Below are 14,423 nucleotides of genomic sequence, written 5' to 3'. Positions count from 1 at the left end.
CCGGCCACGTCCCTCTCTTCTCAGCCCTCCTAAATTAAGCCGGAAAATCCCTGGGACAGTAGCCCCTTTATTCGGCAAAGCCCTTTTTCCTCTTTGAGGAATGACGACAAAAACGAACAAAAATGAAGACACTCAGCAGCACTGCGTCCTTTCCCCGCTCGCTGCAGGGAGAGGCAATGCGGACTGGTGTGGAAGGGCAGGCCCCGCTCTGGGCCGCAGGCGCTGCGGCCGCGAACCCCAGGTCCGGGAGTGTGGGCGGGGCCTGCGTGTGGGCGGGGCCGCGGCGCCAGCGCCCGCCACGGGCGAGGGCGTGGCCGACCCGGCGCTAGCCCGCCCGCCCGCCCGCCGGCTCTCGCGCCTCCTTCGCGCCGGCCCTTCCGCGGGTGATCAGCTGGTCTGCGCTCCCCTGACGTGGGCTGGGGCACGTCACCGCCGAATGGCAGCCTCCAGAAAGCCACCGCGAGTAAGGTGAGGGCACTCCGCCGGCAGCCGGCGTCCGGGCAGCGTGCAGCCCTCGCTGCGCGGCCGCGCGTGTTGCACCTCGGCGGGCAGGGACGCGCGGGTGAGGAGCCCGGCCCGCCGCAGTCTGGCGAGGGCCGCGCTCGCCGGAGCCCCGGAACAGGAGCCGGGGGAAGGGGTCCATGAGGCCGGGCGAGATCCGGTTCGTTTCCGGAGGGTCGGTGGGCACGGGGCGGCCCGAGTCTGGTTCCTGGACGCGTATGCCCGCGGAACTGCTGCACTCGGCCTGAGGGGGCGGCGGCCGTCACAGTTCCTGGCCCGCGGGAAGGCCCCGTTCTTGGAGGAAGTTGGCCCCTCTTCGTGTCCGGGGAGGTGGGCGAGCCTTTGCCCTCGCTTCTGTTACCCAGGAATCTAAACCTCAAGTTACAATCTCGACAATACTGACTCCTGCAATTCACTCTACTGATCTGTCACCGCCACAAGGATAGACGGTCGCGGGCCCCTCCCTACCCAAATGGTTTCAGAGGCTGTGTAAGGGAATATTTTGGTATAATCTCCAGGAAAATCCCCCCAGTAGCCTGCCCTGGGCTCTCCTTGGGCATAGGAGGGTGAGACAGATAATTTCCCGGCCTCAAGTTAAACATGTTTTAGTTTATTCCCCTGCCATAACCAGGATGTACTTATCAGAGCCTCTGACAAAGTGGGAGACGGAGAGAGGTGTTCAGAGTTCATGGAGGCCACAGGCCAGACTCCCTGGCCATCCCCAAGGGGTCACCCACCTGCTAACCACTTGAGACATGAATGCACTCACTTTGCAGCATGGCCAGGCTTTCTTGCTGAACACAGACCATGGCTCCTGCTTGTGTTTGTGAGTAGGGGGGTCCCAAACCTACCTTGACCTGGATTTGCCGTTGCCACAGCTTGTTAAGGGTGAGCAGAAAACCAGACCCACCCTGTGGAAGTATGTGGGAGGGGTGGAGAACTTCCATCTGGAAGGAGCTTCCTGTAAGTGAAGTGCTGGAAATGGAGTCAGGCAAGTGGATAATGATGAGTTAGGCTGTAGGCCTCAGGTGGTCTTTAGGGGGCCAAGGTGATCTGTGCTAGATTTATAGACTCACAGCCTTTTAGGAGCAGAAGAGTCTTTTCTACACCAGCTGGTAGAGTCTTTTTTACCTCAAAGGAAAGTCCAGTGAAAGGCTGAGAGAGGGGAAGCCATTTTCCACAGGCGCCTCCCCTACTGGTAGAATTTGAGTGCCATTCCTTGTAAAAGTGAGCACTTCTTTCAGTTTCGGTAATGGAAACTGAACTCAAATTGATTTACCTAAAATGGGGTTGAGCTGGCTTCTAGTGTGGCTGAATCCGGGAGCACCACCAACATTGGCTTCAGACTTCTCTTTATCATCTCTTGGCTCTGATTTATTCAGTATCCGCTTCATTCTCAGGGAGACTTTCTCCTTATGGCAGGTTATGACAGTTCTAGGCTGACAGCCCCAGCAGAGAAGTTGAGCCCTCCTTCCTAATGGAGCAGAAGTCCCTGATCTGATGCTCACTGGGCTGCCTTAATTCTCATGTTCATCTGTGAACCAATCATTATGGCCAGAGGGAGGGATTGACCTGCTTTGGGTCCCAGAGCCTGTTAGGTGTTTGGATAAGACTGCTTTGAACCCCTTGGGCTGAAATGGAGAGGGTACATTCTCAAAAGGAAAACCAAGGTTCCCATCAAAAGGAGGGATGGATTCTGGGTAGACAAAGACAACATTGCTTACTTCCCAACCTTAGAACTTGTTCCAGTTTACCCTTGTCTCATCCACTAGGTGTGATTGAGCATCTTGTTCCTTGTTTTGCCCCATGCTGAACGCTACACATGTGTGATTCCCATGAACTGGGGGTTGCAGGGGGGTGAGGTATTCAGAACCCTGCCAGAATTTCTTGGAAAAAGAGGGAGAAGGCCTTTTCTAGTGCTACCATAACCATCTTATACAAAGATTGAAAGTGCTCTGCATGCTTCTTGCCCCTTACCCACTTTGTGGCTCATCATGAAGTTGAGAAGGTGTAGGTCGAAGAAGTTCTGGGAAGGGTAGGAGCACTGAGCTGGATGTTGGGAGGCTGGAACGCTGGTTCTAGCTCTGTCAGCAGTTAGCTGTGAGGCCTTGAGCCAGTCATTTGATCTTTGTTTCTTGGTTTCCTGGTCTAGAGGAGGGAATTGAGTTGGATAGTCCCTGAGGTATATTCTTCTAGTTCTTAATATTTAATGATAATTGTGCTTTGACAGAGAACTTAAGAATTTTATCTGTCCAAACAAGTGAAAGGTGGATAGATCTTGGACTCTGCGGAGACCAAGATACGACAAGAACAGAGCAGCTGTAGTATTGAGCTGCTTCGTAGCTCCTGTGATCCTGACAGAAAGGTGGAGGTGTTGATGCTCACACAGAGAGTTTGAGCTCACCTGTCAGACCTAGTTTCTGGTCTTGGCTTTGCGGCTACTGAGTTATATGGCCTATGGTAAGTTATCTTTGTTTTTTTATTCTGTAAAATGAATGAATAGGATTACCTTAAGGTAACCTTGGCTAGGCACGGTGGCTCACACCTATAGTCCCAGCACTTTGGGAGGCTGAGGTGGGAGGATCACTTGAGGCCAGGAGTTTGAGACCAGACTGGGCAATGTGGTGAGATCCTGTCTCTTCAGAAAATTATTAAAAAAAAAAAATCAGGTTGGTGTGATGGCACATACCTGTAGTCCTAGGTCCTTGGGAGATTGAGGCAGGAGAATTGCTTGAGCTTAGGAGTTTGAGGCTGCCATAAGCTAAGATTGTGCCACTGCACTCCAGCCTGAGTGACACAGCAAGACCCTGTCTCTAAAAAAATGATAACCTTCCACCTCTGTAGTCATGTGTCTGAACCAGTCATTGGGATCAGTTACTTACCATCTTAGAAACTTACGTATGAAGTAATGGGAAATTCGGTGAGAATCTGACTTGTATCCCTGTCCACAAGAAAGAGATGTTATAAAATTTATAATGGCTTTATTGAGATATAATTCACTTATATACAATTCATCTGTTAAAATGTACAATTCAAGTTATTAGTATAGTCACAGAGTTGTACAACTATCATCACAATCATTTTAGAACATTTTCTTCATCCCCGAAAGAAATCCTGTTACCTGTAATCAGTCACTCCTCACCTCAGCCCTTGGCAACCACCAACACTGCATGTCTACTTCCTGTCTTTACCGATTTGCCTATTCTGGACATTTTATGTGAATAGAATCATATACTATGTGGTCTTTTGTATTAGGCTTTTTCCCTTAGCATGTTTTCAAGGTTCACCTATGTCATAGGTGTGATTTCTTTCTTTTCTTTCTTTTTTTTTTTTTAAATGAGACGGAGTCTTGCTCTGTTGCCAGGCTGGAGTGCAGTGGCACGATCTTGGCTCACTGCAGCCTCCACCTCCCGGGTTCAAGTGATTCTCCTGCCTCAGCCTCCTGAGTAGCTGGGACTACAGGTGTGCACCACCACACCCAGCTAATTTTTGTATTTTCAGTAGAGATGGGGTTTCACCATGTTGGCCAGGATGGTCTCTATCTCTTGACCTCATGATCTGCCCGTCTCAGCCTCCCAAAGTGCTGGGATTACAGGCGTGAGCTACCGCGCCTGGCGTGATTTCCCTTTATTGGCAAAGAACATTCCATTATATGGATAGACACTTTTATTTATCCATTTATCAGTTGGGCATTTGAGTTGTTCCTACAGTTTGGCTGTTACAAATAATGCAGCTGTGAATATTTGTGTACAACTTTTTATAAGGATATATATTTTCAATTTTCTTGATTGTGTACCTAGGAATGGTTTTCCAAAGCCATTACACCATTTTACATTCTCATCAGGAATGTTTGAGGGTTCTAATTTTTTCTATACCCTCACCCGCACTTGTTACTGTCAATCTTTTTTATTATAACCTTCCTAGTGGGTGTGAAGTGGTATCACATTGTGGTTTCGATTTGTGTTTCCCTAATGACTAATGATGAGCATCTTTTCATGTACTTCTTGGTCATTTGTGTACTTTTGCTGGAGAAATGTCTATTCAGATCCTTAGCCCATTTAAAATTGGGTTATATGTCTTTTTATTGTTGAGTTATAATAGTTCTTTATATATTCTGGATACTAGACTCAACAGATTTACAGATGTTTTCTCCCATTCTGTGGGTTGTCATCCATTTTCTTGATGGTATCCTTTGAAACACAAACATTTTAAATTCTGATGAAGTCCAGTGTATCTCTTTTTTCTTTTGTTGCTGTGCTTTTTGATTTGTGTCTAAAGAAGTCATTGCCTAATCCAAGGTCAGGCAGACTTATGGTTGCGCTATAAGAGTTTTACAGTTTAGCGCCTACGTTCATACCTGTGATCCATTTGGGTTAATTTTTTTTTATTTTCTTTCTTTCTTTTCTTTCCTTCCTTTCCTTCCTTTTCGTTCTTTTTCTTTTTTCTCTCTCTCCTTCCTTCCTTCCTTCCTTCCTTCCTTCCTTCCTTCCTTCCTTCCTTCCTTCCTTCCCTCCTTCCTTCCTTCCTTCCTTCCTCCTTTCCTTTCTTTCCTTTCTTTCCTTTCCTTCCTCTCCTTCCTCTCCTTCCTTCCTGTCTTCCTTTCTTTCTTTCCTTTTCTCTTGCTCTGTCGCCCAGGCTGGAGTGCAGTGGCCCGATCTCAGCTCACTGCAAGCTCCCCCTCCTGGGTTCACACCATTCTCCTGCCTCAGCCTTCCGAGTAGCTGGGACTACATGCGCCCGCCACCATGCCTGGCTAATTTTTTGTATTTTTAGTAGAGACAGGGTTTCACCGTGTTAGCCAGGATGGTCTGGATCTCCTGACCTCGTGATCTGCCCACCTCGGCCTCCCAAAGTGCTGGGATTACAGGCGTGAGCCACCGTGCCCGGCCCATTTGTGTTAATTTTTGAATATGATATGAAGTGGGTTAAACTTCATTTTTCTTTTTTTGAGACAGGGTCTCTCTGTGTCACCAAGGCTAGACTGCAGTGGGGCGATCACAGCTCACTGCTGCCTCAACCTCTCTGGCTTAAGCGATCCTCCTGCCTCAGCCTCCTAAGTAGCTGGGACCACAGGTGTGCACCACCAAACCTGGCTCATTTTTGTAAATTTTGTAGAGATGGGTTTTGCCATGTTGCCCAAGCTAGTCTCGAACCCTGGGACTCAGGCAGTCTGCCTGCCTTGGCCTCCCAAAGTGCTGGGATTACAGATGTGAGTCATTGTGCCTGGGCTTTTTTGTTTTTTTGTTTTTTTTTTTGAGGCAGGGTCTTGCTCTGTAACCCAAGCTGGAGTGCAGTGGTGCTATCATGGCTCACTGCAGCCTTGACCTCCAGGGCTCAAGTGATCCACCCCACCTCAGCCTCCAGAGTAGCTGAGACTACAGGTGCACACCACCATGCCTGACTAATTTTTGTATTTTTTGTAGAAACGGAGTTTTGCCATGTTGGAAACTTTATTCTTTTGCATGTGGATATTCACTTGTCCCAGCACCATTTGTGGAAGAGACTATTCCTTCCCCATTGAATGGTTTTGGCATCCTCAAAAATCAGTTGACAGTTGTGAGGGTTTATTTCTGGACTGTTAATTCTGTTTTACTCATTTGTAAGTCCATTCTTATGCTAGCACCACACTGTCTTGTATTTAGGTTTGAAATTGGGATGGAAGAGTTCTTTTCAAGATTTTGTTCTTTTTCAAGATTGTTTTGGCTATTCTGGGTCCCTTGCATTTCCATATGAATTTTAGAATCTGCTTGTCAGTTTCAACCTCCAAGCTAGCTAGAATTTTGGCAGGGAATGCATTGAGTCCATAGATCAATTTGGGAATTACTGCCATCTTACCAATAGTAAACCTTCCAATCCATGACCATGGAATAGCTTTTGTTTATTTAGGTCTTCTTCAGTTACTTTCAGCAGTCTTTTTTAGTTTTTGTGGTGTACATTTTGCACTTCTTTTGTTAAATTTATTTCTAACTATTTTTTGTTTTTGATATTGTAAATGGACTTTTCTTAATTTTATTTTTGAATTGCTCATTACAAGGATATAGAAGTCAAATTGATTTTTTAAATATTGATTTTTGTATCCTGCATTCTTGATGAACTCAGTTATTAGTTCTAATTTTGTTTGTGGATTCTTTAGGATTTTCTGTATTCAAGATTATGTCAATTGCAAATAGAGATAGTTTTACTTCTTCTTTTCTAAACTGGATGCCTTTTGTTTCATTTTCTTGCCTACTTACCCTAGATAGAACTTCTGGTACAATGTTGAATAGAAATGCCAAGAGTAGACATCCCTGTCTACTCTGCCAAGAGTAGACATTCCCTAGATTATAGGGGAAAGCATTCAGTCTTTCAGCATTAAGAATGATGTTAGCTGTAGGTTTTGTAATAACTTTTGTCAGGTTGAGGAATTTTTCTTCTAGTTTGCTGAGTACTTTTAACTTGAAGGGGCATTGGATTTTGTCGTGCTTTTTCTGCGTTTGTTGAGAAGACCATGTAGATTTTGTTCTTTATTCTATTGATATGGCCTGTTATAATAATTGATTTTTCATATATTGAGCCAACCTTGTATTCCTGGGATAAGACCCACTTGGCGATGATGATCCTTTTTATATTGTTCTAGATTCCGTTTGCTGGTATTTTGTTGAGGATATTTGTATTTATATTTTAGAAGACATATTGGGGTGTCTTACTTTTTTATGAAAGAATAATATGTTTACTCTCGTTAAGAACATCCCATTCTGTCCAGTAAAACTAAAGTCACAGCCATATGAAAGCAGGCCTAGAGTCATTGGTAAAGCTGCCTGGTTATCTGGTTCTTACCGTGTGGTAGACTGAGCTAATGTGTCCCTCTCTGTCTTTACCAACATGTAAAAATGCGGTTAAATTATAACTTAATTGAGTTCATAGCTGAGTAAAATTCAAAACCTTTTCTATGGCCCCACAGTAGGCCCCCTGGTGCCTCAATGATGTTGTCTCTGAACCACTTACCTCCCCATCCCCTGATACAATCACACTGCGCTGACCTTCTTGCTTTTCCTCAGGTAAACTAGACATACTCCTGCCTCATGGCCTTTGCACTTGCTGTTGTCCTGGAACATTGTTCCCCTAGCCGTTCACATGGCTTGCTTCCTCACTCTTTTTAGGTCTGTGTTAAAATGTTGTCTGTTATAATAGAGGCTGTCCCTGGCTACCCCATATGAAATAATCCTTCCCCTTACCTCCTTGATGCTTTCTTCCCCTTGCTGTGCTTTACTTTTTTTCACAAAACACGTTCTTATTACTTGACGTATTGTGTACTTGTTTTGTGTCTGTTGCCTTCTCTTCCCTGTCTTCTGCCCATCCCCCTGCCTTGCCCCATCTTAATTTGTTAAAGTCAGAGATCTTGTCTGTTTTGTTCACTGTTGTGTCCAGAATAGGGCCTGGATTATGGAAGATTTTTCAATAAATATTTGTTGACTGAATGAACTTGAAAGAAAGAGAAATCCTCAAGTGCCAAAAATGTAGAGGGAACCTAACGCCTGAGTGGTATGCTAGTAACCTGAGCCTGGGAAAGTTACCAGATGCAGATATAGACCTTCATGCCTGGTGTCCAGGGCATTAGACTATCCCCATATGGGAACAAGAAGTTTGTGTGTAAATCTTCTAGCTAATAAATTAATGTGAAAGTCTTAGAAGCAAACAATAACAGAACTGCTTGTACAAACCAGGACCCATCACATTCTCATAGATAAATAGCCTCTATTGAAGATAAGCTCTTAATAAAAGATCACAAAACGCAGAAGGAATGAACCACCAAGAGGGAGAGGCAGCAGACCTAGCAAACATGAGGGTTAGTCTCCCAAGATCTATTTGAAAGTATGGGAGAAATTATAAAATAAGGGCCTACAGTAATGAAGGCACAAAGAGAAGGCATAGAAACCAGAGTGCAAGAATAGGACACCATAAAGAAAGAACGGGCAGATGTGAAAAAGAACCAAATAGAACTTGTGTAAGGAAAAAACATTGAAAATAAGTCTTCTTAGTCTAGTTAAATAGGAGGTGTGAGAATTTATGAACTAGAAGCTGCAACTGAGAAGGTTAACCTGCCATGGGGATGTTTTACACCTGCAAGTTTTACATCAAACTTTTATTTATTCTGCCACTGATAATGGGGGTGAAAGTTCTTCTGACTCATGTTAGAGAACTGCTAAGTTAAGCGATGCCTCCTCTAACTGAGCCTTGCCACGTTTATTGTGGTCAAAGTCTGCAACTTCCTGTTCTTTCTCTCCTTAAGGGTGAATCACCAGGATTTTCAACTGAGAAATTTAAGAATAATTGAACCTAACGAGGTGACACACTCAGGAGACACAGGTGTGGAAACAGGTAATAATTTTGTCTGGAAATTAGATGGAACATCTGTAAAGGATTTTAGATCTCCACCCCAACCCCAGGTTGGGTGAGAAGAAGAGGGTAAGGAATTAGTAACAGATCATGACTGGGGGTTAGTATCTGGAAGTTAAAAACCATTTTATTTTTTGGCTTCCTAAGTGGTTGGTTACTGTTTCTATATATTTACCATTTTTTTTTTTTTTTTTTGAGACGGAGTCTCGCCCTTGGTCACCCAGCCTGGAGTGCAATGGCGTGATCTCGGCTCACTGCAACCTCCGTCTCCCGGGTTCAAGCGATTCTCCTGCCTCAGCCTCCGGAGTAGCTGGGATTACAGGCGCCCGACACCACGCCCAGCTAATTTTGTATTTTTAGTAGAGATGGGGTTTCTCCATGTTGGCCAGGCTGGTCTTGAACTCCCGACCTCAGGTGATCTGCCCGCCTTGGCCTCCCAAAGTGCTGGGATTACAGGCATGAGCCACTGCGCCTGGCCATTACCATTTTTTTTTAAGGTAGTAAGTTAGAGAATTACAACTTTTTTTTTGTTGTTTGTTTTTTTCGTTTTCCATTTTTGTCAGAGTGGTGGTGGTGGAGAAGGAGATAGGTTATTATGGAAAATGTTCTCTATTTCTCTAATATAGTCCTTCATTATCTTAGAAATTAGCTTTCAATTTTGATCATAAGATTGCAAAATGAGAAAAGCTTGTAATATATTATTGTCCTTTATAAATTGAGTGTGCATTTAGGAAAGTCTTTTTGGGAAATATTTCTTGGCTGTCCCTTCTCCCCAGAACTGGTTAATTGTCTGATGGGTTGCCAGAAACCTGAATTCTGAAAAGTGGTGTATTACTGTATTTCTATCCCAGTAAGCCAGTACTGCTCTAACGACTACTAAGGAGAACCATGTGTTTTTTTTTTTTTTAGCTGACTGAAAAATTGATCTCTTGAAGTACATAAGAAACCATGCCCGTCTAATCTCTGTTTGGAAGATCAGTGCTATAATTGCATGCAATTTTAGATCCTTTTTCTTTAAAAAATATAGATGTATCCAACACATTTTGGACCATATTAGGAGGTAGCAGAGGAAGGAGGAAAAAGAGAAAGTAAAGAAAGGAAAAAAGTGATGGAATCATTAAACTTAGAGTTGGAAGATAACTTCTTTTTCTTTTTGTAATGTATGAGGAAATAGAGGTTAGGTAGCTTCAGTTGCCTGAGGTTGTAGATCCCAGCTGGAAACTGGAGCTCACTTGTTTTGCTTCTGTTGGTCTTAGAACACTTTAAGGCTCTATTATGTCCCCCAGCTAATATGGTGTAATAGAGCATGGACTTGGGAATTGCATAGACCTTGAGTCCCGGTTCCTGATGAACCAGCTGACTTTGGGCAAGTACTTAACTCCTTTTAACTCCTGTTCCTTTATGTGTAAAATGAGAATAGTGAAACCTCCCTTGGAGGATTGTTGTGAGAATTAGCCACTAATGTATGTAAAGCCCTTAGCGTTCCCTCAGCTGTGCAACAGAGAAACAAACCACTACCTCTAAAGCTATTGATGCTGGAAGAGCATCTGTGCCCGTGTTAAGATGCTGAAATTGGAGTAAACTGGCCCCTTCCATTCTTATAACGAGACTTGGGAATTCCAGCTGGTGCTTCAGATCCAGATTCAAATATTTCTTGAGCTCCTGCAGTGTAATAGATGCTGTGCATGGTGCTTTCACACACATTATCATGTTTAATTTGCCTGGCCACCAGTGAGGTAAGTATGGTGTGCTTTTCATGTACAATCAGTGAAAAATCTTGTTTGTGATAAAGGCTGAAGGTGTGGGAACTTATTTCTAAAAGCAGACCTGTATATGCAAGACTTTTAAGTGAGTCATTCTCTGTAAGGCATAGTTTGAAAATACCTGGCAGTGTATGGGCTAATGTTTCATCGTGGACTAGGCCTGTTGCTCTTGGCTTCCTACTTTGCTGCATACTTTGCTTAGCTCTTGGCTGTTTCTAACATTTCTGAAAAGTCATAGGATGTGGAATGAGCAGATGTCATAATACAGCACCTTGCAAGAGCCTATCTGTCACTGAAGATTCATTACTGTTCATTGAGACTGAAAAGATCATAGATCCAATGTTGTGAATTTGATTTAGCCATCTTTGAGTGAGCATATGTATATGTTAATTGTAGATACATGGATACAGAGATGACATCATCCCTGCCTTCCGGAGAAGTGGTATACACACCTGTTTACACAATTTATCACATTGCATTTATGGTTAGTTGTGTGTCTAACTCTAATAACATTAAACATTTACATGACATTTGTTATGTGCCAGGTACTGTTTCTAAGTGCCATATGTATAGTAACTCATTTACTCCTTATACAAATTATGAGGGTCATTAGCTACAACTTTCACTTCCTCCATCTTGGCTGCCTTTTCAACCAGTGCCACCTCAATGGCTAGGACTTATATAATTGCACCAACTTTGTTCTCTCCTTAGCTCCAGCTGCTCACTCATTCAATCACTTTCCATCACCTGTTTTCCTTGTGGGTACAGCTGCCTCAACCACCAGGGCCCACTGTATTCACTTCAGTGGTAGCTGCCTCACTGCCTCAGCCATTGCCTGTTGCTATCTTCTTCACCTTCACTGTTGCTGCCACTGCCCCTTACCACATCCTAACTATTGGTTATGGTATTGGGACTTCTTTCATCATGTCTAATATTGATGATAAAGAAGTAGCTGCATTGCACCCAGAACATGAATGTGATCGGCCTGAAGGATGAGGAAGTAGGAAGAGGGAAAGTGTTGAGTGTTGATGGGGGTAGGTAGCATTGTGGAGGGGAGTGTCAGTGAGACTGATAAAGCTGATGATTCTGTGGGGGTCTGATATGCCAGTCACCAGGGGAAACGTGATGATGTGATGGTGGTAGTGATGAAGATCAGAATGTGGGAATGAGGAGGCAGGTTGTGATGACCAGGAAGCAGAGGATGTTTTTGAACAGATCCAGTTTGTTTTTGTTGGTTTTTAGTTTGCAGTTGAAGATTTTGTGCTCATGATTGGTTGTGTTAACGTTATTGATGAAGTTAGTGACTGATAATATTGATACTACAATCAGCACTAAACACCCAGTCAGTGCCACCAAAATCCTTACGTCAGAATGTACCTGAATGGAAGGCAGAGTCTATAAAGAAATAAATGATCTTGAAAGAAAGTATATTAGACTCTTATATTTTTGCATTTTAAAACTCCTGAAGCCAAGGCTGTACTCCAGACCAGTTAAGTCAGATGTTTCCCGGATAGTCCTAATGTGCAGCCAGTGTTGAAGTCCTGCTCCTAAAGAAAGCTTCATTTTTGCTTGACTGTTTTTAAGAATGATAACTTGCTCAGAAATATGGTTTGAAAACACAATAAATCTATTCTGAAGCTCCTGAAAGATATCAGAGTAAAATTTTTAGATGCTGGCAAGCTTGGGAGATCACAATGGGCTTTATTTTGAACCCCCAGTGGAGGTGTTGACATATAAACTTGGATCAGACCAGATACTTCCGATCCCTTTTTCTCTGATAGGTGAGAAATTATAGGCCCAGTAGATTAGACGAAAGGATAGCTGGATGTGGTGGTGTGTACCTGTAGTCCCATTTACTTGGGAAGCTGAGGCGGGAGGATCACTTGAACCCAGGAGTCCAGCCTGGACAATGTAGTAAGACCCCGTCTCCCCTCAGAAAAAAAAAGAATGCCCCTCTGAACAATATTCAGAAGCAGGTGTAATGCAAGGAACATGGATATGCTTGAGTTATGAGTAGGACAGTTTCCATTGACTCTTCCTTTGAGTACTTCTCTCTTCTGAGACTCCTGAGGGTGAGCCCTAAGGCCTGCTTTTGAAGTTGCCCTTGCTGCAGATGATAAGTGGGGCACTTTTTCTAGCTCAAGATCAGTATGGTACCCCATAGGGGATTCTATTGGAGATCACCATAACAACTGAGGCATAGAAGCCTAAGGTGCTGGTGATGATGAAAAGGAAGAAGCAAATGAGTATGTTAAAGAAAAAGATCCAAAAAGGACCTATGCCCAGCAGGGTTTAAGCTACAGCAAGTCAGGATGTCAGTCGTTGAAGATCACCTCATGTAATTGTCCTGATTTAACTCTGTGTTACTTACAGAGTTATGTTACAATGTTTTTGACTAAGTAAAATATTTTTGTTAAAAAATGAGTTGGCAAACTCCAAAACACCAAAAACACCAAATGAGTTGGAATCTTACGTCCACCTAAAACCTGCACACAGATGTTTATAGCAGCTTTATTCATGATTACCAGAACCTGGAAACAACCAATATGTCCCTCAGCAGGTGAATGGATAAATGGTGGTACATCCAGACAATGGAGTATTATTCAGGGCTAAAAAAATGAGCTATCAAGCAATCAAAAGACATAGAGGAACCTTAAATGCATATTGTCTTTTTTTTTTTTTTTTGAGACAGAGTTTCGCTTTTGTTGCCCAGGCTGGAGTGCAATGGTGTGATCTCGGCTCACCACAACCTCTGCTTCCTGTGTTCGAGCAATTCTCCTGCCTCAGCCTCCTGAGTAGCTAGGATTACAGACATGTGCCACCATGCCCAGCTAATTTTGTATTTTTAGTAGAGATGGGGTTTCTCTATGTTGGTCAGGCTGGTCTTGAGCTCCCAACCTCAGGTGATCCACTAGCCTTGGCCTCACGAAGTGCTGGGATTACAGGTGTGAGCCACTGTGCCTGGCTTAAATGCATATTCTTAAGTGAAAGAAATCAATCTGGAAAAGCTATGTATTGTATGTTTCTAACTATATGACATTTTAGAACAGGCAAAACTATGGAGACAGTAGAAAAGCTCAGTTATTGTCGGGTTAGAGGAGAGGAGGAAGGAGGAATGAATAGGCTGCATGTGCATATAGAATTTTCAGGGCAGTGAAAGTACTCTGTGTGATACTATAATGGTGGATACATGCCATTACACATTTTTCAAAACCCATAGAATGTACAACACCACGAATGAATGCAGGAGTAAGCTGTGGACCTAGGGTGATGATGATGTGTTAATGTAAGTTAATCCATTTTAACAAATGTACTACTCTGGTTGGGGATGCAGATAGTGGCAGGGGGCTGTGTGTGTGTTGGGGCTGGAGCTACATGGGAACTCTGTATTTTCTGCTCAGTTTTGCTGTGAAACTATAACTGCTGTAAAAAATGAAGTCTATTAAAAATGAGTTGGAAAAACTCATTATTCTACTTTGAATTCTAATAGTATAGTTTTGTGCCAGTATATGGGATATAGTGAAATATGCATGATCACTATTCTGTAATTGGCTCCTTCTGAAGTTGTTTTGTTATGTAGACATAGGACTACAGCTATGATGTTTATCAGAACATTAACTAATATCAGTGATTGTTGAGAAAAGGTCTTTTTGAAGAACCAACTAAAGTGGTTAAGTCAGCTTGTATCATCTGTGCTTCCACTAAGTGAGTACAAGAGACTATTCCTGACTATAGATATAGATGAAACAAGTTTAAGAATTTCTAGTAGGACCAGAGTTAACA

General features: G+C 43.4%; 1 protein-coding gene across 12 annotated transcripts in view, besides 3 other annotated features; it reads left to right on the top strand.

Annotated features, from left to right (window-relative positions):
• Nucleotides 144–683: a silencer, noted in NCBI's record as "silent region_2804". NCBI's record gives its function as "represses an Ori minimal core promoter by ATAC-STARR-seq in GM12878 lymphoblastoid cells {active_cell/tissue: GM12878}" and the evidence as "EXISTENCE:reporter gene assay evidence [ECO:0000049][PMID:35858748]".
• XPNPEP1 (X-prolyl aminopeptidase 1) overlaps nt 359–14,423 on the top strand; it is a 58,746-nt gene continuing 44,681 nt past the window's right edge. For 9 of the 12 annotated variants that reach the window (NM_001324134.2, XM_017016613.3, NM_001324135.2 and 6 more), the window contains exons 1-2: nt 359–468; nt 8,771–8,859. Coding sequence is in view for 8 of the 12 variants with exons in the window: in XM_017016613.3 (XP_016872102.1) it covers nt 437–468; nt 8,771–8,859 (121 nt within the window). In the remaining 4 variants the exon portion in view is untranslated. Of the gene's footprint in view, nt 469–623; nt 991–8,770; nt 8,860–14,423 lie in introns of those variants that run through there. The other 3 variants (NM_001324128.2, NM_001324132.2, NM_001324136.1) reach the window with 2 other exon arrangements.
• Nucleotides 9,979–10,634: an enhancer, noted in NCBI's record as "NANOG hESC enhancer chr10:111672994-111673649 (GRCh37/hg19 assembly coordinates)". NCBI's record gives its function as "activates a minimal SCP1, AML or CMV promoter by ChIP-STARR-seq in naive H9 embryonic stem cells {active_cell/tissue: H9 hESC(naive)}" and the evidence as "EXISTENCE:reporter gene assay evidence [ECO:0000049][PMID:30033119]".
• Nucleotides 10,981–11,030: an enhancer, noted in NCBI's record as "active region_3997". NCBI's record gives its function as "activates an Ori minimal core promoter by ATAC-STARR-seq in GM12878 lymphoblastoid cells {active_cell/tissue: GM12878}" and the evidence as "EXISTENCE:reporter gene assay evidence [ECO:0000049][PMID:35858748]".

The sequence above is a fragment of the Homo sapiens genome, chromosome 10 (assembly GCF_000001405.40).
Source record: "Homo sapiens chromosome 10, GRCh38.p14 Primary Assembly".
In the NCBI taxonomy this organism is placed as follows: Eukaryota; Metazoa; Chordata; class Mammalia; order Primates; family Hominidae; genus Homo; species Homo sapiens.
This window is presented reverse-complemented; position numbering and strand designations above follow the sequence as displayed.